This window comes from Homo sapiens, chromosome 18, assembly GCF_000001405.40.
Source record: "Homo sapiens chromosome 18, GRCh38.p14 Primary Assembly".
In the NCBI taxonomy this organism is placed as follows: Eukaryota; Metazoa; Chordata; class Mammalia; order Primates; family Hominidae; genus Homo; species Homo sapiens.
Window position 1 is genome coordinate 27,576,397 of NC_000018.10, and position 25,947 is coordinate 27,602,343.

Below are 25,947 nucleotides of genomic sequence, written 5' to 3' on the forward strand. Positions count from 1 at the left end.
ATGGAAGAGAAAATAAAGAGATAATAATGGTATCAATAACAGACTTGAAGGGAGCCAACATATTTATTGTTGTTCGGCCTCCCCGCCGAAGTTAAGAATTTATGTTTTCTACATGAAATGGTAAAGGAAGCCTCACAATCAGTCAAGTCTCACATATTTTGCACCCTAATATGTGTTTTAAATATCCTCTGGGTGTTATTTACTTTTTTATTTAATGCTAGAACTTTAATGAAAGTTTCTATGCAAAACACATGAGGAAATTCTTGTATGTGTCCTATCTTGTCTGCCTCTTACTCCTACCTACTTTTCCAGAGATAGATTGGGATACAATAAGAGACATAGTAAAGTGCCTAAAAATAAGGCTTGATTAGCCAGGCATGGTGGCTCACGCCTGTAATCCCAGCACTTTGGGAGGCTGAAGCGGGTGGATCACCTGAGGTCGGGAGTTCGAGACCAGCCTGACCATCATGGAGAAAGCCCGTCTGTACCAAAAATAAAAAATTCACCAGGCATGGTGGCACATGCCTGTAATCCCAGCTACTCAGGAGGCTGAGGCAGAAGAATGTCTTGAACCTGGGAGGTGGAGGTTGTGGTGAGCCTCGCGCCACTGCACTGCAGCCTGGGCAACGAGAGCGAAACTCCATCTCAAAAATATAAATAATTAAATTAAATTAAATTAAATTAAAAAATAAGGCTTGATCTCCCATAGTAATTTCCTAATAATTTTTTTATTAACATCATCCCTATTTAGGTGGCCTTATAAGTTAATTTATCCTTTATTTTAGTAAGAATATTCATCCGCATGCCTCGTAAGTGAGAGGTAGTTGCCCCCGGGCAGCAACTGTGTGCTAAGAAAAGGCTGAAGGTCACCTTAAGATCTGCTGATTGGATGGTCCGTTAGCAGTCAATAATTCACCATCCAAACTTGCTAACTAAATTCATACTTGTTATCACTAGCAGGGGACAGATGAGAACTGGGAACCCTAATACTCAGCCTGGTCTTCTTAGGATGGCTCAGGAGCTCCGGCAGGGCAGGGCATTTACATAGCAGCCAGCAGTCACTGCCAGGCATGGATGGGGAGTGGACAGAGGAGGTGGTGGAAGGTGGAGGCAGGCCATGGCAGTAAGCAGGGTGGACAGACACTTTTAGTTTAGTAAGGGCAGTGAGATGCCCAGGAAAGAGTTGTAATGCAAGGTTGAAAGTGAGAGTGCCTTATCTGTTAATCGATACCAAGGAGATTAAAAGAATTAGCTACCAATGTGGGAGATAAAAAGAAAGATGAAAACAAAGGCTTTTGAAAAATTAAAGGCTTAATGACGTGCTCTTGAAAAATTTTGATAGTACTATTTCCCAGTTAAACTGACCTCTGCTATTTCCTTTTAGCCATTTAAATTTTTTCTTTCCCTCTCTGTAAAAATAATTTAACATTATAATTGTCATTTGTTCTTGTATATGTCGCATACAAGACTGGGAAATTGGAATTCGCCTGTGTCCCACGGTGGCAGGGCAAGCCCTTTTGTGCTAGCAAAGGTGCATGCTGTGCAGTTTTCTATCCTCAGCATGCATTTGTGAAATTACTCAACTCTTACATGAAGCCAAGAAAGCAGATAAACAAGTAGCTATAGAAGTCTCAAGAGGAAGAAAGCGATCAGGATCATCTTAATGTTTCCAAGTATGATATAAAAAAAGAGTTTTCAGACTCCCAGACCATTTCAGCCACATTATAAAAGCAAAAAGGTAGACGAAGATATGCTCATTTCTGTTTCAGTAATATTATGTGTCAGCATTGCTTTGCATGAAGGTTAGCAGAACCATCCATCATTGCAGCTGAACTGCATATTTTCTTGTTCAGCATTGATAGATTTTTATTTTAACCTTAGAAGTTCCTCAAGGGACTCTATTAGGGGCAATGTCATTCTTTATTCTGCTCTATTACTTCTCTTTTGTAAACTTTGATGTATGCAGACAACACATTCTGGCTAGGGAAGTTTAATTAGGTAAGTCTACAAATTAATTGTTGCAATTAGACTGCTTCTAACTGCTTTGTGTTATGAATTTATTTATGCAGTAATTATTATCAGATATCTAGAATAAAAGCCTCCAAAGCTAAAGGTGGTACCTTGCAGATGTATGCACAGCATTCCACATTTATTAGCCCTCCAAAATAAAAGCATGTATTTAAAAAAGAAAAGAAAAAGAAAGAAGAAAGAAAGAATATCTTGCCTCAGTGGTCATATTCACATACAGATTTTGACAAGCAAACTGTTAACAAAACCTAAACAGGATTGTTTGTATATTGGCAAAATTCAAAATGTTAGACATTATATAAATCACTATAAAACAATTTGCTAGTATAAAAACTAAATGAAAATACAAACTCAAGTCCATGCTCTGAAAGGCACCTAGTTTTGTTTGTTCATAGTAATGATTGCAAAGGCATATTGGAAGAAATTGACGATTTTTCAGTAAATTTTGTTTTTAATTTTTAAGATCATATACCATGAAAAATTTTACAGAGAACTTCTAAGAAAACAACCATGGTGCTTCAAGCTGTCTCCTCAAATCTTTTTTTTCTGTAACAGGGGCATTGCAGCTCGTAGTAGAGAAAGACAGATCTAATACCATCATTTGAAAGGAAGAAAGCAGGGAGACGCCAACACTAGCAGAGAAAGAAGCCTATGAACAGAAGTTTGAAAGTCAAACAGTAAAGTGAGAATGAATCATTGGTAGAGATGTAAATTCATATAATCTCCCCAAAGAGCAATTTTGAAATGGATTTCTAGTCACTTTAGAATAGTCATTATCTTAGACCCAGTGATTTTAAAAATTGGTTTTCATCTTAAATAAATAATACCAAATTTGAAAATAGCTTTATATACAAAGGTATGCATCTCAGCATCAATACTAAGAACTCCCACATACTAGCAACTTATATAGTAACCATTAGTATTATTAGCTGTCCAAAAACAAATAAATATATCTCCAATTCAGTTATTACCACATTCATTTAATAAATATGTATTGATCACCCACTCTATGCAGAGCATTTTTCTATGCACTGGGCACACAAACAGAAATGTTTCTACCCTCAGGGAGACTGCATTCTTTTGCAAGAAGAAGCATAAAAAATAGCAAAGTATTAAGCAATGTGGGTTAATGAAAGGGACAGGTGTGGGAGTTTAGAGTGTTCTATTTTGGGCGGAGTAGTCCAGAAAGGCCTTTCTGAGATGGTGACATTTGACAAGAGACCCAAATTAGTGATTAGGGAAGGTAATACTGAAAACAAAAGGATACAGTGCTATTTCATCAGTTATTTTACGTAATACTGAACCTACTGGTATTTTACAAAAAGAAAAAAAGTTCAAATTTCACAAAATAAAATAAAATTCCATGAAACTAGATATTTAATATATTTCAAATATAAAATCTGTAAATGTATTATGACATCATACACTCATAAATTCAAAGGACAAAGAAGCATTATCATTTTAAATATAAATTATTAGGTGATAAAATTGTTAGAAGGAAATTCTTACTTAAAAATAAACATCCAACAAAATGAAGACATTTAATTTAACAAGAAAATGTCAAAAGTAACATAATTTAGTCTATGTACTAACCAACAAAGTGCATTAATGTCATAATTTTGTAGCAAAGGTCATTGTATGCCATTTGTTGAACTAACACCAAATATTTTCTTCTGACTCTTTCTAATAACTCCACTTCTTGATAAAATCTTTGAAAAGATCTCTTGAAAAACCATGTTTATATGTTTATTTTGATATTTTTAAAGGAACTTCAGTGTTTTTATTGATGGAAAGCTGTAGTTTTTGTTTCAAAAAAGACTTGTAGTTTGTCATAGTTTGAGTTTTATCATATATAGGTAAAACTGCCTGGAAACTTCTCCCAGATCTTTAAAAGGTGTGCTCCTTTTCATCATATAGTTAATGATAATTACAGAGGTTAGGAATACTAATTTTCTGTCTCCCAGGAGTAACATATCTGTTATTATTAAGAAGTAAATTTCTTAATGATAAGAATTTTCAAAGATTTTATCAATATCAGTTTTATCATATATAGATAAATCAATATCAGTACTCTCATATTTATATTCCACTCACTCTGTCTTTGAACTAAAGTGAGAATTATAATTGCAGTAGAAGCTCTGCAATACCTCAATACATTGTCATCTCTGTAGGTGTGGACCACTCCAGATGTGTACATACAACTTTGTTTTGTCTTCTTATAGAAATAGAATAATTGAATTTTTTATCTTGATTCCAAAACATTAACGATTCCAATTTCAGATTATTATTATTGGTGCAATGATGGTATAATACTACTAAAATAGCAGAATTTTACTTCTTAATACTAACAGATATGTTACTCCTGGGAGACAGAAAATCAGTATTCCTAACCTGTGTAATTATCATTAAACTATATGATGAAAAGGAGCACACCTTTTAAAGATCTGGAAGAAGTTTCCAGAAGATCAAAAGTAAGTGCTAAAGCTCTGACATGGAAACTAGCAAGGAGACAAGTGTGCCCAAAGATTGTTTCAAAGAAACAGGGAGTTAGGATCTTCCTCTGGAGCTGGAAGCAGAAGGCCAGACATGTAAGGCCTTGATGGGCTTAATAGTTTGGGTTTTATTCCAAATGTTCTGTTTGCACAATTTGTAATATCATTAGGACATACTATTGAAATGATGCAAAGTTGAAAAAAGGATACAAAATTATTATATAGCATGATACTAACTGACTTAAAAAATGATAAGTAAAAATGTTTGAAATGAAATAAACTAAAATTAAACCATCCCTATAAACTTTATAAAATTAATTAGGGAAAAAAGGGAGAGAAATGAAAATAAGCCAAGTTTGCAGCACATTTGGCATTAATCATTAGGTCAGCTGCTTTCTGACCTGCTTCCTCATACTTGTTTGGTGCCTGTTACCCAAGAATTACGCAGACCTTGCCACAAGACTATAGTTCCCTTTAACTGCTCTATAGATAAGAACTTGAATGATGTGAAATGTTAAGTTTTTCATTTGAGATATTCCTTCAGGTCCTGCATACCAATAAAACTACTAAAGTCAGCTGTTGTCAACAACCCCATAGGAGCTGACTTGCTCACCAAAGAATGCAGTTTCCACATCCCGATGATTTCATCATCCTTATCCCAACCAATCAATGGCCCCAGTTTTACAGCCCCTTGCCCTCCATGATCTCCTTAAAAGCTCCAAGCCAGAACTCTTCAGGGAGACAGATTTGAGGGTCCTCCCATCTCCCGCCTTGGCCTCTTGGCCACCCTGCAATCATGAAACTGTTTCTCTGCTGCAAACCCTGCTGTTTCAGTGTATTGGTTTGTTACTACATAGTGGGCATACAAACCTGGTGGCCCTGTAACAAAAATATACACAAGTTGGCTATATTTGGGGGATTAGGTATGTTAATAATTTTCTTATTATGATTGGTATGTATGTTTTTATAATGGAAAAGCAAGTTTTTGAAAAAATTTTTGACACTCTTACTCAAATTACGTGGAGAACTTTTAAAGAGATAAAGGACCACCTACCAGGCTTCTTCTACTGATAGTTTGCCAGTGAGAGCTCAGTAGGAACTGCAAAAAAAAAAAAAAAAAAAAAAAGGAAGATGAGGCAACAGAAAGAACCCAATAAGAGGCTTGTTGGATGTGCCCTTATCAGCATCCTCAAATGTGTTCTGCAGGGCTTCAGCTCTAGCAAATGGCAATTTGTGCTCCATGAAACAGGATCCTTATGGGAAATTCTCTTTGGGAAATGCTACATCAGTATTTATCCCCCCCTTTGAAAAATACCTAAGATATGTTTGCATATTTAAGTTGTTGAATGGCCCCAGAGTAAAGAAAACTGAGCAATTTGATTTAACCCAGTTTTTCCTGAATGTTTTTAACCAGAGGATACTTTGCTGTCTTTCTTTCGGAACACTTAGGAATGCAGATTTGAGGAACGTTACCTTGGAGAAAGGCCAGCCCCCATATCATGCTCTTTATTTAGCCTATGAAGTATAACTACCTGGGGATGAAGAAATCTTTACAGACACTGACTTGATCAATAATGGAAATGAAGTCTGTACTAAACTGGATCTATATCCTTAGCCCCTTAAACAACTAAGAGATGTCTAAATTCAAATTGATGAAAATATTTGAGTTGGAATCCCCCTTCTCAAGACCAAGAACCCAATACAATGTCAGAAACAAAGATAGGAGAGTGGACTTAATTGAGAAAAATGGAAATTTGAAAGGGAAGAGTAAAAGGATTAGTGTTTCCATTAATCATCAGACAGCAGCAACTGTCTTCCTTTCCTCTGGGTTTCCCTGAAGTCCTCACTAGGGCCTCACCAGAGTAAGGCTGCCCTCCACACCCATCCAATTTTGGTTAAACATCACAGGTTGTAATGATGGTTAGGCTGTCCTTCGTAATGTCAATTAACTACCATCACTTCCACCTTATCCGCTGTCGTCTGTGTTCTCTCCCTGGAGTTATGCACCACACACTCCCAACCCCCATATATATCCTTGCATTTGAATATGCAGAGAGACAGTCATCTTCTCTTTTTTGGGGGTAATGCCTGCACTAGCATTTGCTCATTCTTTTTCAGCTTGAAGTATGCAAAAACTCTTGATCAAGGGTAAAATACATAGCAGAAATTGAGGTCAGACCAAAATAAATAATATACATTGCAAAACAGTCAGTTCTGAATAGCATTTTAGAATGGTTATGGATGAGAGAATTTACACTAGAACTCATTGTCCAAGAATGTACAAAACTGTCTGCCGCTGCTCTAACTCTTTGGCTCACAGCATAAGATAAGATGGGGGGTGGGGAAAGGAAGTGTATATATGAGTGTACTGAAATGGACTGTTTCATAAGCATACAGCAGAAAGCCATTCAGAGAAGACATTTATACTGAATAAGCACTGTGCAGAATGATGTAAAATAGGTTCTTTGCATCCTCCACAATGGCTTTTAAGGTGGAATGTTTCCAAGGCTGATTTTGTTTTCTCTCTGCCCTCATAGAAATTCAGCTCTTGATCAGAAGGAAAGCAAAATTTGGAAGAAATGTGATTATATCAAATACTGCTGGCCTAACTTGGACACTGTAATTCTAGGAATGAAAACATGCTAGCTTGTTTTCATTAATATTACTAGAAGGTAGCCAGTTTAAAGAATATTGCATGGTCAGGTGGACAAATTCCACCATTCACTGGCTGTATGACCTTGAACTTGTCAGTTACTGCTCTGGGCCTCAATTGTGAAATGGCCTGTTGAAAGTATAAAGTTGTAAAGTTGTAAATTGGCCTCGCCTGTAAAATGAGGATAATTATAGTAACTGCCTTGCATCACAGGCCTGATATTAGGGTTACATATATTTGTCAGTATTTTTAAAAACTGTCTTGCAATAATATGTACCAAATAACTTTAAAGAAATAAAAACTAGTAATTAAGTATCATCCAATTAATGTGCCAAAACTTACTTTTACTTAATTTGTTTGATTCTAATTTTGCAGCATTATCAACAGTGTTTTTGATTTATATTTCTATTTTGATGCATAACTATGTATATTTCCTTAGGAAAAATTCATGGACCTGGAAAGATCATGTCATGGAACATGCAAACATTTAAGGCTTTTGGGGCATTTCTCTAAGTTTCCTAGCAGTGCATGAAAATACACATTTTTCCCACTAACATTAAGATGTTTTATTTTTTTTTTTGCCTGTTTTATTTAAAATTTATATATTTTTTGTTTTTAATTGAATTAGTACTATTTTATTTTTTCCTTTTATTGGTCATTGCATTTTCTTAATACAGTGCCCATTTTTGGAGGTGTTTATCTTATTTTTGTTGTTCTGCAAGAGCTATTTATCATTGAAAATACGAACGTTGTCATTTAAGATTTTTTCCAGTTTATCCTTGCCTTTTTTTTTAAAAAGAATGTCTTTTTAATACCCAGAAGTCATCGTGTGTGTGCACATTTCTATGCACAATACCTACTTGTGTATATTTAAGGTACTTACATTTATCAGTCTTTTTCATTATGGTTTCTCCCTTTTTTGTGTATTCACAATGCTCTTTCCACCCAGAATCACGTAAATAAGCACCCACAATTTATTTTAGAAAATAATTTTGCAATTTCATTTTTTTATATTTAAATATCAAATTCATGTTAAATTTATGTTGATTCTGATGTGAGTCAGGCATCTAGCTTTACTTACTTCGGAATGGTCTTGGCTCTCATTTAATTCTCACATTTTACTGAAGCCACCTCAGAGTATGCATTGCACCATTATTTTATTTCTCTTATAACTTAATGGTGGAACTAAGGGTGCTGAAAGAAGTATAGTCAAGTGGGTAGCAGGCAACCTCTCCCAGGTGATATCCATATGTTTCTAATAGCCAGTAGACCTGTATGAACTGAGGCTATCAGCACAATGCTTTAAAGAATAGTTGGGCTTCGGGATTTTTTAGTCTAAAACAGTTTTATTTTTCAGATTCAGTTTATGACTAGGTTGAATAAAAACCAGCACCGTCTTCAAAGACAAATAAGAATAACTAACTGCTATTCCATGATAGTATGTAAGAAAAGGCTGGAAATACTTTCAAATATGTCATAGCTATAACTATAGCTATATGCCTATATGCCTTTTTTTTTTTTTTTTTTAGACGGAGTCTTGCTCTGTCGCCCACGCTGGAGTGCAGTGGGGTGTGATCTCGGCTCACTGCAAGCTCCACCTTCTGGGTTCACGCCATTCTCCTGCCTCAGCCTCCCAAGTAGCTGGGACTACAGGTGCCTGCCACCACGTCTGGCTGATTTTTTGTATTTTTAGTAGAGACAGAGTTTCACTGTGTTAGCCAGGATGGTCTTGATCTCCTGACCTCGGGATCCGCCCACCTCAGGCTCCCAAAGTGCTGGGTGTATACAGGCGTGAGCCACTACGCCTGGCCCAGCTATATGCCTTTTATACACATCTACTCTGAAGCTATTCTGTAGAGTATGCAAAGGCGTGCATATTCACCTTACTCTTTTTGTCTATGGTTCCATTGTGCCTAAATATCCAGATAAAAAATTTACAGTTCAGTTGAATATCTTCATATAAAAAACTTACAGTTTAGTTAAATATTAGGATCAGTTAAATATTAGGATATTTAACTGAACTGTATGCCTTAATATAATACCAGACATCTGGATGTGGGGGATCGGTCAGAGTGTTGGGAAAAACTATAGGAAAAGGATGCAAACCTGAAAGGTCAGAAGGTTCTGCAGAGCCTCTGGGGAGAATAGCTGAAGGCACCCGTTCTTTAACCCTGAGGCAGAGGGCAAGGAGTAGGCTCAAGCGAGTGTTGGGAAATTTATCTTAAACAAGCTTGTTTACTTAAGTTGACCAGGATCTGACCTTTGATCATCCACACGTGTGACGTTCCCTGAAAGGGGAACAATAAATGTTAATTACCTACAGGCTGTGTGGGCTCCAGGTTTTCAGCATTGTGCCTGCACTGAATAAAAGCAAGCAGATCGAGCTTCTCGGGCTGCTCTCAGGCCACTAGAGCCAGGCAGTCATCTAGCTGCTCTTACACTGCATACCTATGTCCGAGTACTCATTTTATCCATTGGCCAGGGTCTGCGAGACAGACCCGGCAGGTTCTGGATATATTTTTAAATATCTTGGGTTTCACTATAGGGTATCCTTTATATTTCTCTGATATAGAATGGTTAGGAGGAAGTTGATAAGCTTATTGTGCTGGACAAAGAAGCTAGCTATTTGAACGATGATTCAGAAAGTTAACTCTATAGATATGCTTAAAGTGAAAATTAAGAATGTATCCTTTATAGAGTTAGGAATCTAAAGTTACATATAGATATGCAATTAAAAAAACTGTATCTAACTGTATTGACAGAAATTCAATTTTGTTTTCTAAAATTGCTTCCTAGAGAGGACAAGAAGTAATCTTTTTGAGACCACGGGCTCTATCTATGTAAACATAACTGAAAAGCTACCTAATAACCTTTCTTGAAGCTCATGTTAAATTCTTAAGTTTATATTCAGTAAAATTATTTGCATTTTTGCTCATTATTATTTCAGTAACAGATGATCTAAGGATTTTGTAACTCATCTGTAATGGTCATTTACTTATATAATTATTCCTCAAGTTGAGCTCACACAGCCAAAATAACTTGAAAGATACTATGAAGTGTAACCCCCAAATTCTTTACTCGTCAGGTAATACAGTCAATGGAATTTCTCCAAGTTGCAGCACTGGTTCTAGAAGGTGTTTGGTTTCATTAATATCCAAACCTATTATTAGATGGAAATAGTATTTGCACATATAAGCTCACCCCATCATGCTAGTCTGATTGATTTGTCAACTCCCTAAAAAAAAAAAGAAGACCCACTTGGACTTGGAGAGCATGTTGGTTCTCATAAGAGGGACTGTCTGAAAAAGTCAGGAAAATTGGAGTGCAGTTCTTGTAACATGCTGCAGAAGGGAGCTGTGAGCATGTGAAAGACCTGGACCCTGAGAAAAAAGGCCAGAGTGATATTTCCTAATTTGGTCTAAATCAGCACTGTATGTTTTACACTCCCACTATATCTACCCATGGCCCACAGGCTGATCTAAGGATTTTATACCTCATTTGTAATGGTCATTTACATATAATTCCCCACATATTGGGACAGTGGTTTTCAAATATTTTAACTCATATAATCTCACAATTTTTGAAACATGATGTCCCTCTGGCCCATTTTAATTTGTCTGAATTTTCCAATGTGAATTTTTAAAACTTTATTTTAAAATTATTATTTGGAGGGAATAATAGGTTTAATAAGATAAAATATAGTAAGAATTTATTCTAATGGAATAAGTATTTCATGTTTTGGTAAAAATAGGTTTTGACTACCTGATTAAATACCATGTTATAATTGGATTAAGTAGGCATTAACAACTGTAATATATATATAATTTGAGAAAACAAATCATGTAAATATTCTATTAATAGGTTTTTATGTAATATGTTCTTGAAAATTGTGGTAACCCTAGAAAATATTCTAGTTTTATATTTAAAAATCAGTATCATTACCTGTACTCCTTAGGTTTTTCTGAATTCAGAACATTCTAAGGTAGGGAACATCTCATCTTTAACAGACATGAATAACAGAGAACGAAAGCCATTCAGATTTAAGATATTTTAATTAATCAAAAATGGAGATATTATTAAAACCAGTACTTTAAATTATGACTATTTTAATGCCCAGAAAGTTTTAATGGATAGCCCAGAGCTAACCACCCCAGTATAATTTTGAAAGAGTATAAAGTTTGCCCTTTGTTGCTGCAATGGTGACAAGACTAGTATGAATATAAGCCCCTTCTCAGGCAGACCTACTTTTGGGAAAAGCACAACTGGAATTTGATAATCTATCAATTAGTGCTCATAAAACTCGCTATACAGAAGTACTCTGTGAAATGTTTGTTCTATACCTCCAGGGTTTATGTTATCCCAGTTTCCAGACTCCAATTTGACAGTGGATTATTAAATATCCATAAACAAATGATGAACTCAGAACTGCAAGGCAGACTATAGATCTAAACTTGGGAGTCTAGCCAAAAATCAGCACTTGAGGACTGAAAGTGAATGAGTCCTCAAATGAGATAGAAGAGCCCAAGATAGTACATTGAGGACTAAGCTTTGGAAACACCATACTTCCATGAGGAGGAGGTGACATAACTGTGGTGAGGAGGATGGATAATGTTTTTATTCCCCTTTGTGCAGTATCCATTTGCTCTTTTGATATTTTCTGTTGAGGTCTACCCACTCCTCCCAGTTTGGTGTACTTTCAAGGAAGTGAATACTACCTTAGCTCCAAGAGAAGGCACGTAACCCAAGTCTTGTCAATCAAACCTTTATATTCTTGGAGAGGTGACCAATCAGAACCACCAAGTCGCACTGATATTTTTTACCGAGTCTTCTGAAAGAGACTCATATTCTTCACCTAAATCTCTATTCCTTTACACTAAGAACTTTTGGAAGTCCTCTTAAAACCATGAGCCAACCAGGAAAGCATCACCTAGAAACAGGAAAGGAGAAACTAGTCCTGATGCCATCCTGTGCATTGTGAGCCTTGGGTCAAGCTTCACCCATAGCTCCATTTGCATCTAGCATGTTCAGTTTTATAAATGCAAATTGTTTTTCCCCATCAACTGAATTTGAGAATTGGGCTCTGTTACCTAGGACCAGCTATAATTGATACAAGACATATGCAAACTTTTTATTTTCTAAAATGGGGTGTGAAAAGCTACACACCATACATTGTATGCTTTCTTTAAATCATTCTCTGACATTTTAATAGTTGTCTTAGGGTGGACATTGTTGGCCAGTTACACCTGTATGCTTGATATGGGTTGGCTGTTTCATCCCCTCCAAATCTCATGTTTAAGTATGACCTCTAATGTTGGAGGTGGGCCTAGTGGGATATGTTTGAGTCATGGGGGCAGATCCCTCATGAACAGCTTAGCGCCCTCCCCGTGGTAATCAGTCAATGCAAGATCTGGTTGGGAGCCTGGGACCTTCCCCTCTCTCTCACTCTCTCTCTTGCCTTGTGATTTGCTGGTTCTCCCTTTGTTTTCTGCCATGATTAGAAGTTTCCTGAGGCCTCACTGGGAGCAGATGCTGGCACTGTGCTTCTCATATAGCCTGCAGAACTGTGAACCCAAACAAACCTCTTTTCTTTATAAATTACCAAGCCCCAGGTATTCCTTCACAGTGATGCAAAATGGACTAACACAATGCTCCAAATGATTAATTGCTTTTCAACATGATTAACTCATTCCCACAGCATGTATGTATGCATGCATTATGTATGTATAGACATATTTACACACATGTGCATTAACTTGTACTTTTCCTGAAACAAAGTATAAATTAATTATAAAAAGCGATATATATCTTAGAATAAATTTTTTTAAATATAAGTTTTCAAATATAATTCAGTACTTTAAAAATTATCTAGAATTTGCTAAGATTTTCTGGATATTACTGTCAAGAATGAGTCAATTCATGGCATTTCTTTTATAATTAGAAGCCACCCATTCCACAGCTGAGTGCCTCAAAGCATCAAAGGAACTTGGTATCAAAAATCCCTTTGAAAACATACATTCGTGCTTTCATCATTTTATGAATAAAATAGATTATTAAATATCTGATAATAATTCTTCCAATTAAATATTCCCAATTGATAATTTTAATTTTTTTCTCTCATTTGTTTCCTTTTTCTTATAGGGAATGGAAAAATATCTTAGTTATACTATATACAAATTAACAGTACAAGAGTTCTCTTTGGAAGATATGCTTTTTAAAGTCTCAAGTTGGACAATATGATGAAAAAAATGTATTGACCAATATTGTTTTACTAATCTTGGGTTTCAGCTCATTAGTAAACAGCTGACTAATTTTTTGAAGAGTTTAGTATATTGTTCCACTGAAAATTTGAAACCTATAGTTACAGAATTAGGGCCTTAAATATAGAAGGATGTTTATTTATCTACAGGATATATTAAGATATTATCGGATTCAACCATGATACTGAGAAGTAGCAGAATAATGCACTAACGAGAAAGGGGGAAAAAGGAGGTAGTTTCTTGAATTTGTCTACAGAATTTTTCAGTCTTTCAAAGAGCAAGGAATGAAGAAAATATTTTTGAAGTTGACAAGAAGGACACTGCTAGTTACCTTCAGAGATCAGTTTCCATAGCCCAACACAAATTAAGATCATATTTCTTTTTTGAAATATATTTCTCATGAAACGTGACAAACATACTAAAGTTACAAAGAACAATATCATGGACATAGTGTCCTTACTCATCACAAAACTATTGACTTAATATTTTTCTTTATTCACAACAGATTTATAAGAATAATAAAATGTTCTACATACACATTAAACCTCAGTATCCTCTTCCCCAATCATAATCTACTCTTTCTTCAGAGGAAAACACTATGCTACATTTATCATTCCCCTGCATAATTTTTATACTTCTACTACATATGTATGCATTCAAAAATCATACGTAGTAGTGTTTTGCATTTATTAACTTAATATAAACTCTGATGGCATGAATGATTAAATTATTATTTCAATCAAGACTTTGAGAATTTTTTAAGGTAGATATTTATGGTTATAATTCATTTATTTAAACCATTATATAGTATTTTATTGAATAAATACATACAACTCAACTATTCTCAGGTTATTTCTACTTTTCTTTGTTCTTTCTTCTTCTCTTTGCTATCACACATAGTGATGCAATGAGCATTTTGGCATTTATATCTTCACTTACATATACAAGAGTTTCCAAGGTGTGTACCTAGGAATGGAACTTCTAGTTTATGGATATATAGAGAAAGAGATATATGATTTTCATAGTAGTTGTACCAATTTATACTAGGAGTTCAAGTTTCCTCAATCCTCTGTCTCAACTAGCGAACATTTTTCCAATTGAATTGTTATTTAGTGATATTGCATTGCTTTTATTGATGGCATTTCCCTGACTATTGGTGAGACGTAGCATAGAGTCAAATATTCTTGACAATTCACAATTCCTCATCTGTGAATTCACTATTCATATCACTTTGTCTATTTCTATTGAGTTGTTGGTCTTTTTTCTGATTTAAGTTTTATTTATATATTTTATGCAGTAATTACTTATTGATTATTTGGGTTATACATCTTCTCCCTATCTAAGGTTTGTCTTTCGTTTATGGTGTCTTTTGCTGAAAAGACTTTTTTATTTTTTAATGTTCTCAGTAGTGTCAGTCTTTTACATTAAGGATCATTCTTTTGTATATTGTCTGAGAAATATTTTTCTACTCACAGTTATTTTTCCCATTTTCTACTAGAAACCAGGTTTTAGGGAGTGACAAAAGAGATATACATTTATTTTAAAAATCAGTGACACACATTTTAAAATGTATGACTGTGTTAAAACAAGAAAGGGAGGTGATTAGAGTAATAGTGTATATAAGGAGATCTGTTTTGTTGCTTTTCAAAATAGGACAGATGTGTGAAAGGATAAAGAGAACAAGTTGGGATTTAAAAAGCCATTGTTAATGTTGACTATTAAGATGGTATAAGCATGTGGGTGACGTCCCTCAGGAGTGGAAACAGATAACATATGTGATAACGTTAATAAAGCATTGACCCCAATGTATTTTTGTCTCCCAATATGTTTAATAATATTGAATACATAAATAGACCACTAGGCAAAGCCAAAAGAGCTCAGTTTGGGTTCTGATAAATGCACTGATTTTTCTATTAGTAATAGAAACAATTAGGATGTCTCATAATTTTTATTTGTGGAAACAAAGAAAATATAGGAGAGACAGACACAGAGCCTATGGAAATGCAAATGTGAACTCTATTGCCATATTTTGCTTTCACAGATGATTAAAATATATTTTATAGCCATGCCTGGTGGCTCGTGCCTGTAATCCCAGCACTTTGGGAGGCCAAGGCAGGCAGATCACCCAAGGTCAGGAGTTTGAGACCAGACTGGCCAACATGGTGAAATCCCATCTCTACTAAAAATAGAAAAATTAGCTGGGCATGGTGGTGCACACCTGTAATCCCAGCTACTGGGGAAGCTAAGGCATGAGAATTGCTTGAATCCAGGAGGCAGAGGATGCAATGAGCCGATATTGCATCACTGCCCTCCAGCCTGGGCAACAGAATGAGACTCTGTGTCTCAATGAAAAAATAAATAAATAAAAACATATAGAAATAAAATAAATTTTACGAGAAAGACTACATCTCAGCCACTGATGCATTCGGTCCACAGATTGGATCTCCAACCACAGAGAAGGAGTCTCTAGGAAAGAGCCTCAGATAAAAAATGGAATGACTTTAGGGATGGAAAAGGTCCTAGAGATCATCTTGCCCAATGCTCCCATTTCACAGCTGATGAAACTGAAGCCCCAAATGGTTAAGTAACTTACTCAAGATCACACCACTAATTATTGGCAGAGTTGGGAGCCAAGTTTTGTTTCTAATTCTGCTTCTGATGAGCCCCATGACAATAGAGCAAGTGCTGAGTGTACTTTAGCTACCTCTGTTGTTAAATGGAGTTAATACTCCCTAGTTCTTCAATATTTCACAAGCGTGTTGTTAGAGTTTCTGTGATTTGTGAGAATATATTTTAGCTTCTGTAAAAAGTAAATTGTTCATTACCATTCTATCAATTTGAATTCTTTGGTGACAAGCAACAGAAAACACACACAGCTTACCTAAGCAAAAAGTGGATTTACCAGAACCACATGAGAAAGCTCAGGGATTGAATAACTGGGTTGGTCCAGAAGAGAACAGAGGATGCTGGGAGTGGGAATAGCCTCACCGTCTTACCAGGCACTACTGTTGGGATGACTGTTCCTCAGCTGATCCTTCATCTCATCTCCTAAGGTTTCAAAATTGTGGAAGAGAGAATCAATTGGCTCTAATTAAATCCCAAATCTATCCTCTTTGCATCAACAGAGCAATGAGAAAAAATTTATCACGAAGAGTCTCCAGAAACCTCATTGGTTTCCTTAGCAAGAGGAATGAGCATCTTGCTTATTGGCTTACGAAGATGACTTACAGGGAGGAAGAGTAAGTTTCCCAAAGGAAATGGAGATGCTATTAGGAAGTGGAACTCATGCATGACTAACCCCCCCAAAAAACAAATAAATACAGCCACCATATTTAGGTTCTTTGTTGAATTTTGCATTTGATGTGAGAGGCCTAGGGATAAAAGCAATAAATATAGGTCATATCTTCCTGATTAAAAAGGGCAACCTGGTATTATTCTGCTGGCTAATTTAGAACTCTCAACAAGTCAATTGAGTTTGTCACATAAGAAAGCCAATGTCAGAGTAAACTTTTAAATGATCAATTTGCTCATTATGTAGGCACAACCTGCTCTCATGACCCTTTTAATACAGCTGCCAATGTTGCATAGGATTTAAAAGATAAAGAAAAATCTTTCCATTTAAATTTAGATCTAGACAGTAAGCTGAGCACCTGTTGATCAAAAAAACCAATTCAATCTGATCTCCCATTGACTTAATTTGACTTAGTGTATGTTTATTGTAAGGCACCTCCTAGACTCAGACCTGTATGATTGTAAATATAAAGGAATTCCTCTATATTTGGTTCATATACTTAATTTCTCTAGATCTACAGCAGCAATCATTTTATTAGAAAGACAGGAATTTAAGCCAACTCTTTTTTCTATCTCTGGTTTAAATTTCTTCACTCTCTGGGGAAAAAAATGTATTTCTAAAAATATTAATGATGGTGTGAATATATATTTTTCTTAAAAATATGTGTGTAGAAATTTGAAAATCCTAAATTACGTAAAAGCTAAAAGGAGGAGGGAGTCAAAAGTGTATTTATCTTTAAATGTCATATAAATTTACCTCCAGTATTTGTTCCCACAATTACCTCCACCTCCCACTGTACACGGGACAAAATCCGTTTCAAGGGAGGAGTGATCTTTTAGAACAAATAAGATCATGTTACTCCTCCATATGAAATTCTTCACTGGTTCCTCATAACGTTGAGGTTGGAGTGCAACTCTCTTCACACAAAGACATGAAGAGCCCCTCAGTTCAGCCCTCTGCTGGCCTCCCCTTCTCCGCTCTCCCTCTTGGTCACCATAATTCACTCTACAATCAGCTATGCACAACTATTTGAGGTTTCCACAACTTGTCACTGAATCTCTCACTTTTGCTCCCCCCACCCTAGAACACCTTCTCTCCTTCCTTTATGAATCCATCCCTCCTTGCTGTCTCCACTCGTCACTATTCCCCATTCCAAATCCCTTCTTCCATCAGCTTTGTTCACTACGCAATGCTCAGCTCAGGTGTCTTCCCTCCAGAAACTTCCCTTGCACCTTCCCTTTCGTGGCCCAGTAATAACATGCTACACATGGCCACTACCATCATAGCTGTCATCACACTGCACTGTCTTATGCATTTATTAATCTAGCACCTCCATTAAAACCATGAACTCCCGGACAACACAGTGTGTATCTTATTCTTTGTACTTCCAGTACCTGACACAATATCTGCTACAAAATATGTGATAAATAAATGTTTCTTGAAGAAAACAGAATCACTCTGTTGTTTTTTATATCAGAGTTAAAGAGACATCATTATTATGCTCATCCTCATTTTCTGCCATGAATGAAAGTCAGTATTATAATCCATCTATCCTCCTCATGCTGAGAAAAAAAATAACTATATCCTCTCTGCTTAAAGAAAATTTACAAGAGTGTGTTCGGTCATCATTGCATACTAAATTAGGCTTGAGTGCAATTATCTATTCATCTGGCCTCCTGCTTGGATAACTGTAGAGTTTTTCAGTCGGTGTGAAAACCTCAGAAGACTTATTTCACAGGCAATCAGGGCATGATTGGAAGAGCACTGGCTTAGATTCTTATGGAGTTCATTTGCTAGAGGAACTGGAGGGTGCAAAACCAGAGAGACTCACCTGATCTCAGTGTGATTTGATGTGATAGTTTCCAAGCAAAAAGCAAAGGACAGATGCAGAGGTAGAGGCAGTGTCTTGTATTTTTCAGCAGCATAGAAGCAGTAGTGGCTCCTTGAATGTTAAGGGCTTCACAAAGATAAAGGAACACTTCTCCAGTGTTATATGCAAATGGACCAGAAGTGGCAACTGGTAGACTAGAATCAAAGGAATGAGCTGTATTGCAACTTGAAAGGCCACTAATATTTCAGTCTAAATTATCTTTCTCAGATTTACTACCTACCACTGGTGAGGCTGACAAAAGATGAGGTTAGCTGAATGAATAATCAAGTTCCCAGGTCTTGGCTATTATGACCGCCAGCATTCCTGTTAGCAGGTGGGGTTGTTTTGCTGGCATTTTATACAAGCGTCTTTCTTCATTCTAGTCACACACAGCTGCTCTAGAGCTTCACAAAGTACAAAACGTTTTTAAAAGCTGGCATCATTTGGAGTTTCCACCTATAGGAAATTTGAAAAGTTGGCATTTGCATTCCCTAAAGTATCAATCTCTAATGAAAACAATGTCAGAGCCTTAAGCACTTTGGCGTTTTCTGGACACATTATAAATATACAGGATATATTTTATCATGTACTGTATATTAGAGCACAGGGACAAAGAACAAGCACCAGGGACAACGGTTTGAGGCAATTCTTTCAACACATTTTCCAAGGCCATTTCAAATGACTCCCTAGTCCTTGAACTCCCTGGTGATAATTTTAATAGCAGCAAGGACTATTTGGTAACTGGCTTGGATGGCAGGTTGCATTTGGCTTTAGCTGATAGAAAGCCTACTGCCTGTTTTTATTGAGGAGACAATATTCTAGACTATTATAAGGATATTTAAAGCTTTTCTAGCACCATATCCCTTAACTTCAGAGTGCTGCTAAGTATTAACATTTCTTCATAGGCTTTCTTTTTTAAACCTGCCTATGGAACTGTTCATCTTTATGTGTAACCACCCTTGATCGTTGATTTGATACCAGAAGTCCTGCACAGAAACCCTGGTCAGCTAGAGGTAACTGTCAGGACTAGGAAAATGCAGATGGTGCTTCAGGTGAACACTGCTTCATCTCTTCCCCAGTGGGCTCCATCTTAACTGCAACTCACTTCATTATCCGCTTGGGTGATTCTGGAACCATAGAAAATCAGGCAAGACTCCTACGGGGCAAACACACATTTACAAAAATAGTTTTAGTCTCACTTCTAATATTTTCCCCCTTTTTGAAATTTCAAAGAGAGCTGAGCAGGCTATTGATAGTCCAGGATGTGTGGTCACCATTTATAAATAGCACTATGAAAACACTACCCATAGTTTTTTTTTGTTGTTTGCCAGCATCTATCAATTGGATACAAATTATCAGACAGATAGCAGACGAGTCGCTACTTGGAGGATGCCCATTTATATAACAGAGGAGGCTCAGCCTGTCCAAGACCTATTTGTTGGCTGAGTGACAGCTCTGTGTGCCCTGGATCAAGGTGTGGCACTGCTGGTGGGTGCCATGGAGAACTCAGCCGAAACCAAGTGTCACATCACATGTCACCAGAGAAGCAATGGCTTCACAGAGCTGTACCTGTAAACGTAAAATGTTTAATGATGAATAATTTGTTTGAAGCTCTTCTTACTCCACATTTCCTTGGAAAATGAAACCACGGGAGGCATGAAAATCTCTAAAGGGCCTTTTTACATAGATTAATGTGGTAATTCTCTCATTACTATGTTCTGAAGAAGAGCTTCTTACACTTGGCTCTGTGCTTTGCCTTCAGTTATAACATGGCTTTGCATTAAGTGTTTTAATAAAATATGAAATTAAATGATCATCCTGGTGATATTCACCTCTTGGTTGAGGTAAGGAAAAATGTAGTTTCCATAGTACATGAAACCAAAGAGATTATTTTGCCTCCAATGAAGAGATCATTGGTCAAAGACAAGGTTTCCCATGGGCTCACACCTCTCCATTAATTGGAAATGTTTTAGTATTCTCTCCTGCATCTTTGAGGATTACAAATAATGTAACCAATTTACAGCTATGGAATATGTATCCCATCAGAAGCTAACCAGTTTAATTTATTTTTTATGCACATTTAACCAGGAAGTATTGGACGAAAGTAATTATTGAGAGTGATCATTTATACTGTCATTAACTATCTGTGCTTCTTTCTGTTGTAATAGGTGAGAAATAGAAACTTCCTGAGCAGCATTGATCTATTGACTGCTGGACCTGTTAGTAATAAAAGCCATAGATCAATAAAGGGATATAGAATAGGGATGTTTTTTGGTATAAAAATGGTGAAATATCTTTTCAAATGACTCATTCTAAAATAACAAAAAATCCTTCAAAACCGTTGAGGTTTGGGGTTATTTTTTAAGCAAGTGGTATTGACTGAAGAGCAAAAGGCCTTCCCACTAATGATGCCAAGGAAGATTACAGTGAGAGTTTTTGCAAATTGATTGTCCTCATTGGGTATCAATACTTTAGTTCTTTCTTAAAGGGATACTAGGGTTGACAAGCCAAAAGACAACAGCTATATGCTAATTGAATTAATTCTTCAACAATATCTCATTATTCTTGCATTCTGGTGCATACACAGCAGAAGATTTAGTTCTGAGACTAGTTACCTGAAGTGATAGTTTAGATCATGGCTCAGGACTGAGAATTGCAGGGTTCAAATCCTGGTTCTACCACTTATTACTTTAGGCAAATTTCTTAACTTTCCTTCACCTTAGAGTCCTCATCTATAAATCAATCATATACATTTCATATTATTATATGAAGATTAAATGAGATACTATTGATAAAGTATGTAGAGCAGAGCTTGGAACATGGCAGATGCTCAATGCATGTTAGTTGTGCTCAGGCATGAAACTTTCCCAGTCCTACCATTCCTAATTTCATGATATGTTATAACCATGATTCCCTTTAACAGTGGTGCCATTTCCCTGAAGAAAAATTGGTAGTATAGGAAAGCCTGAAAGTTGCCACATTGGGAACCATGGTTTCCAGGAATGACATGGAGTCCAAGCTGTGTGATAAATGCTGAATAGTTTAAATATCACCTGCCATGGCTCTCTGGGCCTAAAGGACGGTTCTCCATTTTGGCAGAATCAGGTCTGTTTGATCACTGGCACCTGAGCCAAGGTGTAATGACTTCAGGACATTGCTCCCTGTGGTAGATTTCACTTAAAGGTGCTCAATTTGCATTCTGTAAATGAGGGTAAAGGAAATCATGATAAAAATGCAAATAATTCTCTCTGGTTGTAACAAAATTGCTTGTTATTGTCTCTTTTTCCTCCTGACTACAATATTACACAGAGACTTGCACAATGTTCTCAAGGACTATTTGTAAAATACATTAATAAATACACAGTGTAGCCCTGCACAAGAAGCAATACTTATGGGTATATTGCTTTGGCTGTGAATTTAAAACAGCACACACATGCACACACACACACACACACACACATACACAGGTTCTTCACATTATAAGCCAAATACATATACCAACTGATGATTATACAAATAAATTAGAATCTGTTGATCATATGAGAGTTTACAAATTATCTAAAAAAACATACACCCTTTACATATTTCAAAAGGAACACTCGACATCTAGGTTTGTTGAATTACTGACTCAAGGTGACAAGTTAGAGGCAAAGCTAGAACTAAAATTCGGACTCTGTCCAGATCTTCTTCCTCGGCATCATCCTACCTCTGTTGGTAACAGGACTCCAAACTTGCTTTCACTTATCGAGAGTAAATGCTGAGTAAAACCTTGTTAGAACCTGGGAACATATACGATCTTTATTTCTTGACCCAACATGCCAAACTAAGGTCAGATTGTTAATTTTGTTTTATTTCTTCCTTCAAAAATTGACACACAATTTAGTTCTTTCCAGAAGGGTTAATAGGTTTCTCTTGTGTTAAGAGATATTTACACCAGAGTCTTAAAAATATTGAGTAACATTACAGAAAATAAATCAACAAAAGTTCAAGTTACCTTTCAAATATCAATCATATTTTGACAAGTCACTCCCTTACAAATTACAAATGGCTAAGCACTCTCCATGGGTAGCAACTGCTAGTGTTTTAAATGCAAGTCTTTTGTGAAACTATTCCTTCTTCTAAAGGAATAGTTTATTTTCTGCAAAAGGAAGGCTTTCAATTTTATGTATGTTATATTCAATTGTCATGGACTATACTCATATCATTCCTGATATTCCCTTGTATGACAAGTTTGCTTCCTCACACTCTGATAGCATTTGTAATATTTCATGTGTTTAAAAAGAGATACACTGAATTCCATGTCTTTATATGTAATCCAAATCTAGTTATTCATCAATTCATTGATTCTTAATCATGGTAACTTCTGCCCATTGGAAAAAGGAGAGTGCATTGGCTAAAAACCCACTGCTGCCACCTAGTGTTACTGGGCAAGCACTGCCTCAGCTTGACACCTTGCCTTTGTGCATCAGAAAGACATCATCCTTTGTATTGTGACACACACACACACACACACACACACAGAGATGTTACTTTAGCAATGATCTTCATAATTAATTATTTAGGAAATTTTTGTCTCTTCCTATTGACTCTTTTATATTTGAATAGTCTGCGTTCCAGACTTGCTTCTTTAATATGCTTGGCATTTGAATTCTTTGAAGGCTTTAAATGGATGAAGGCTTTAAATTGAAGGCTTTAAAAGACAATATGGTAGCTTAAGGCAATCATCCATATTGATGAAGTTCACTATAAATAGATGTATGCTGCAATAACCCATGTGTAAAAGCAATGTGTCCTTTTTTATTCTATTCCTATTGATTCCAACTCTCTAAGGATGTTGTCAATAGCTCTGCCAAAGGCCTCGAATGAAACCCACAACCCACCAAGTCATTTTGCTTTTCAGGGCAAAGACAAATCCCAGAAAGAAATGCACTACTGTATTCCAATGAAATTGATCAAACAAAGTACAATGATTTTCTTGCATGAGAAATTTTTTGTTGAATAGGAACTACCTTTCAAAGAGTCTGAAGTAATGAGATTTAAATGGCTTTCAAGATTCATGTCCATTTTATGGGGGTGTTTATATGCCTTTCAGTAGAAGCTCATAAGAGTAGGGATGTTAGAAACGTGAAGGGCTGGAGTTCTGTGGTAAGGAGCTCACTGGAGTGGCAAGTGTGTGATGACATGAGAAGTAGATGTCCGGAGCGGGAGGGTATTGACATCACCTCTCGCCCTGCTGAGCACAAGGAGAGCAGATGTGTTCCCAGGGATCCAGGAAGCCTCTTAGGATGGAGTGGAGCAGGGTGGAAGAGAGAGCTCTGTCTCAAAGACAGAAGAAGCATAAAGTAGTGGCAAGAGCACAGGATAAGGGCCATCAGCTGTGGAATTTTTCACTAATCTGATGTGTATTCTAGAGCCATAATCTAACCCTCTTGGGTCTTTCCTACTCTTACTCATTTCCACACAGCACACCTGCACCAAATGATGTCAGAAAAGTTTCCCTTATTGATGTGATCAAAACAGGTCTTTGAGGCATTCTCTTCTGAAAATGCAAATAAAATGAGCTGCCCCTTGGTATCTTCAGCTTTGAGATATATTTAAAAGAATGAACCCCTAAATCTCAGTTGCTGGACACTCAATAAAAGTTTATTTCTCACACACAATAGTTACATGCAAATATTCTGTGGGCAGTCTTTCACGCCAAGATAAGGGACCCAGGGTCCCTCCACCTTGTGACACTTCCATTCATTCACTAGGACCTTGGAGCCTTTCACTCCAGATAAGGCGTGAGGAGAAGAATTGCACCAGACATTTGTGTGACCAGACCTGGAATTTGTATACTTTATTTTATCCTCATTTTGCTGGAAGGAATTCAGACACCTAGCCACCAGTACTTCCACATACATTGAGAAATATTACCAAGATTTGGGCTTGGGAAATTGAGGAAATGGGTTTTGATGAATATGTATATAGCAATACAGTGAACATGTTACATGCACATTGCCTAGATACCATATATTTGTCTATCCAGGGGTTGGCAAATAATGGCCTATGTGTTAAATCTAGTATGTCATCTGTTTTTGTACAGCCCATGAGTTAAGAATTATTATTACAGTTTCAATTAGATGGAGGAAAAAGAGAAAGAGAGAAGAATACTCAACAGGGTGTTTATGATCCACAAAGCTTAAAATATTTACTATCTGACTCTTTACAGACAATGGTTGCCAACTCCTGGTCTACCTGTATGATTTAAGATCCTAGAAAGAAACAAATAATCACCTTCAATAGAACATTTAATGAAAGAACTTGTGTGAGTTTTCTGCTGCATATGAATTACCACAAACTTAGTGGCTTAAAATAGACTCATGTATTATCTCACAGTTTCTGTAAATCAGGAGTCTTGTCACAATTTATGTGGGTCCTCTGCTCGTAGTCTCATCAGTTTGCAATCCAGATGTTGGGTGGGGCTGTGGTCTCATCAGAGGCCTGACTGGGGAAAGATTCCTGACCAAGTGCCTTCAGCTTGTTGGCAGAATTTCTTATAGTTATGAGACTGGCATCCCTATTTGCTTGCTGGCGAGGGGCTGTCATAAGGTCTTAGAGTTCACTATGGTGGTTAAATTTATGTGTCAACTTGACTGGACTATGGGATGCCCAGACATTTGGTCAAGCATTATTCTAGGTGTGCCTATGAGGGTGTTTTTGGATGAGATTGACATTTGAATCAGTAGACTGAGTAAAGCAGATGCTCTCCCTAATGTGGATGGGCCTCATCCAGACAGCTGAGAACCTTAATAAAACAAAAAGGCTGATCTGAGCCTATACATATGTGTGTGTGTGTGTGTGTGTGTGTGTGTATGTCTATATATATATAACATATATAAGTGCGTGTGTGTGAGAGTGTGTGTGTGTGTGTATGTGTGTATTTTTCAACCTCAGGAAATTCACAACATGCTGCTTTTTCAAGGCCAGCAGAGCCTCATACACATTCTAATCAAGAGTTGTATCACCTTTGCCATATTTTAATGGTTAGAAGCAAGTCACAGGTTCTATCTATACTTAAGGAGAGGGGGTTACACATGGGCTTGACACATTTGGGGACTACCCTAGGGAATGTCTGCCACAGGACTATTTATAAACATTTAGCAGAGTTGAGAGAAACCAATAAGGGATGGAAAAATCCTAGGCTAGCGGAAGCTACTGTCATACTTAGACAAGAAGAGGAAAAAAGAGGAGCAGTTACAGGACTAGGTAAGATTTCTAGCCCTAGGAGAGGGCTACCATGATGGGATCCATGACCTTCATTGCGCAATACAGCCACTACCATCCCATGGCCAGGCAGAGGAACTAAAGAATAA

The 25,947-nt window shown here is 36.6% G+C and overlaps 1 long non-coding RNA gene across 5 annotated transcripts in view; it reads right to left on the reverse strand.

The window, feature by feature from the left end:
* Positions 1–18,748, reverse strand: part of LOC107985126 (uncharacterized) — a 93,388-nt gene extending 74,640 nt beyond the window's left edge. Inside the window, exons 1-4 of one of the 5 annotated variants that reach the window (XR_001753534.2) lie at positions 18,554–18,748; positions 16,427–16,478; positions 5,575–5,619; positions 2,460–2,677 (exon numbers count right to left, since the gene is read on the reverse strand). This is a non-coding gene — a long non-coding RNA (uncharacterized LOC107985126). Of the gene's footprint in view, positions 1–2,459; positions 2,678–5,574; positions 5,620–16,311; positions 16,479–18,553 lie in introns of those variants that run through there. The other 4 variants (XR_007066441.1, XR_001753533.1, XR_001753536.2 and 1 more) reach the window with 4 other exon arrangements.
* Positions 18,749–25,947: the final 7,199 nt, after the last annotated feature.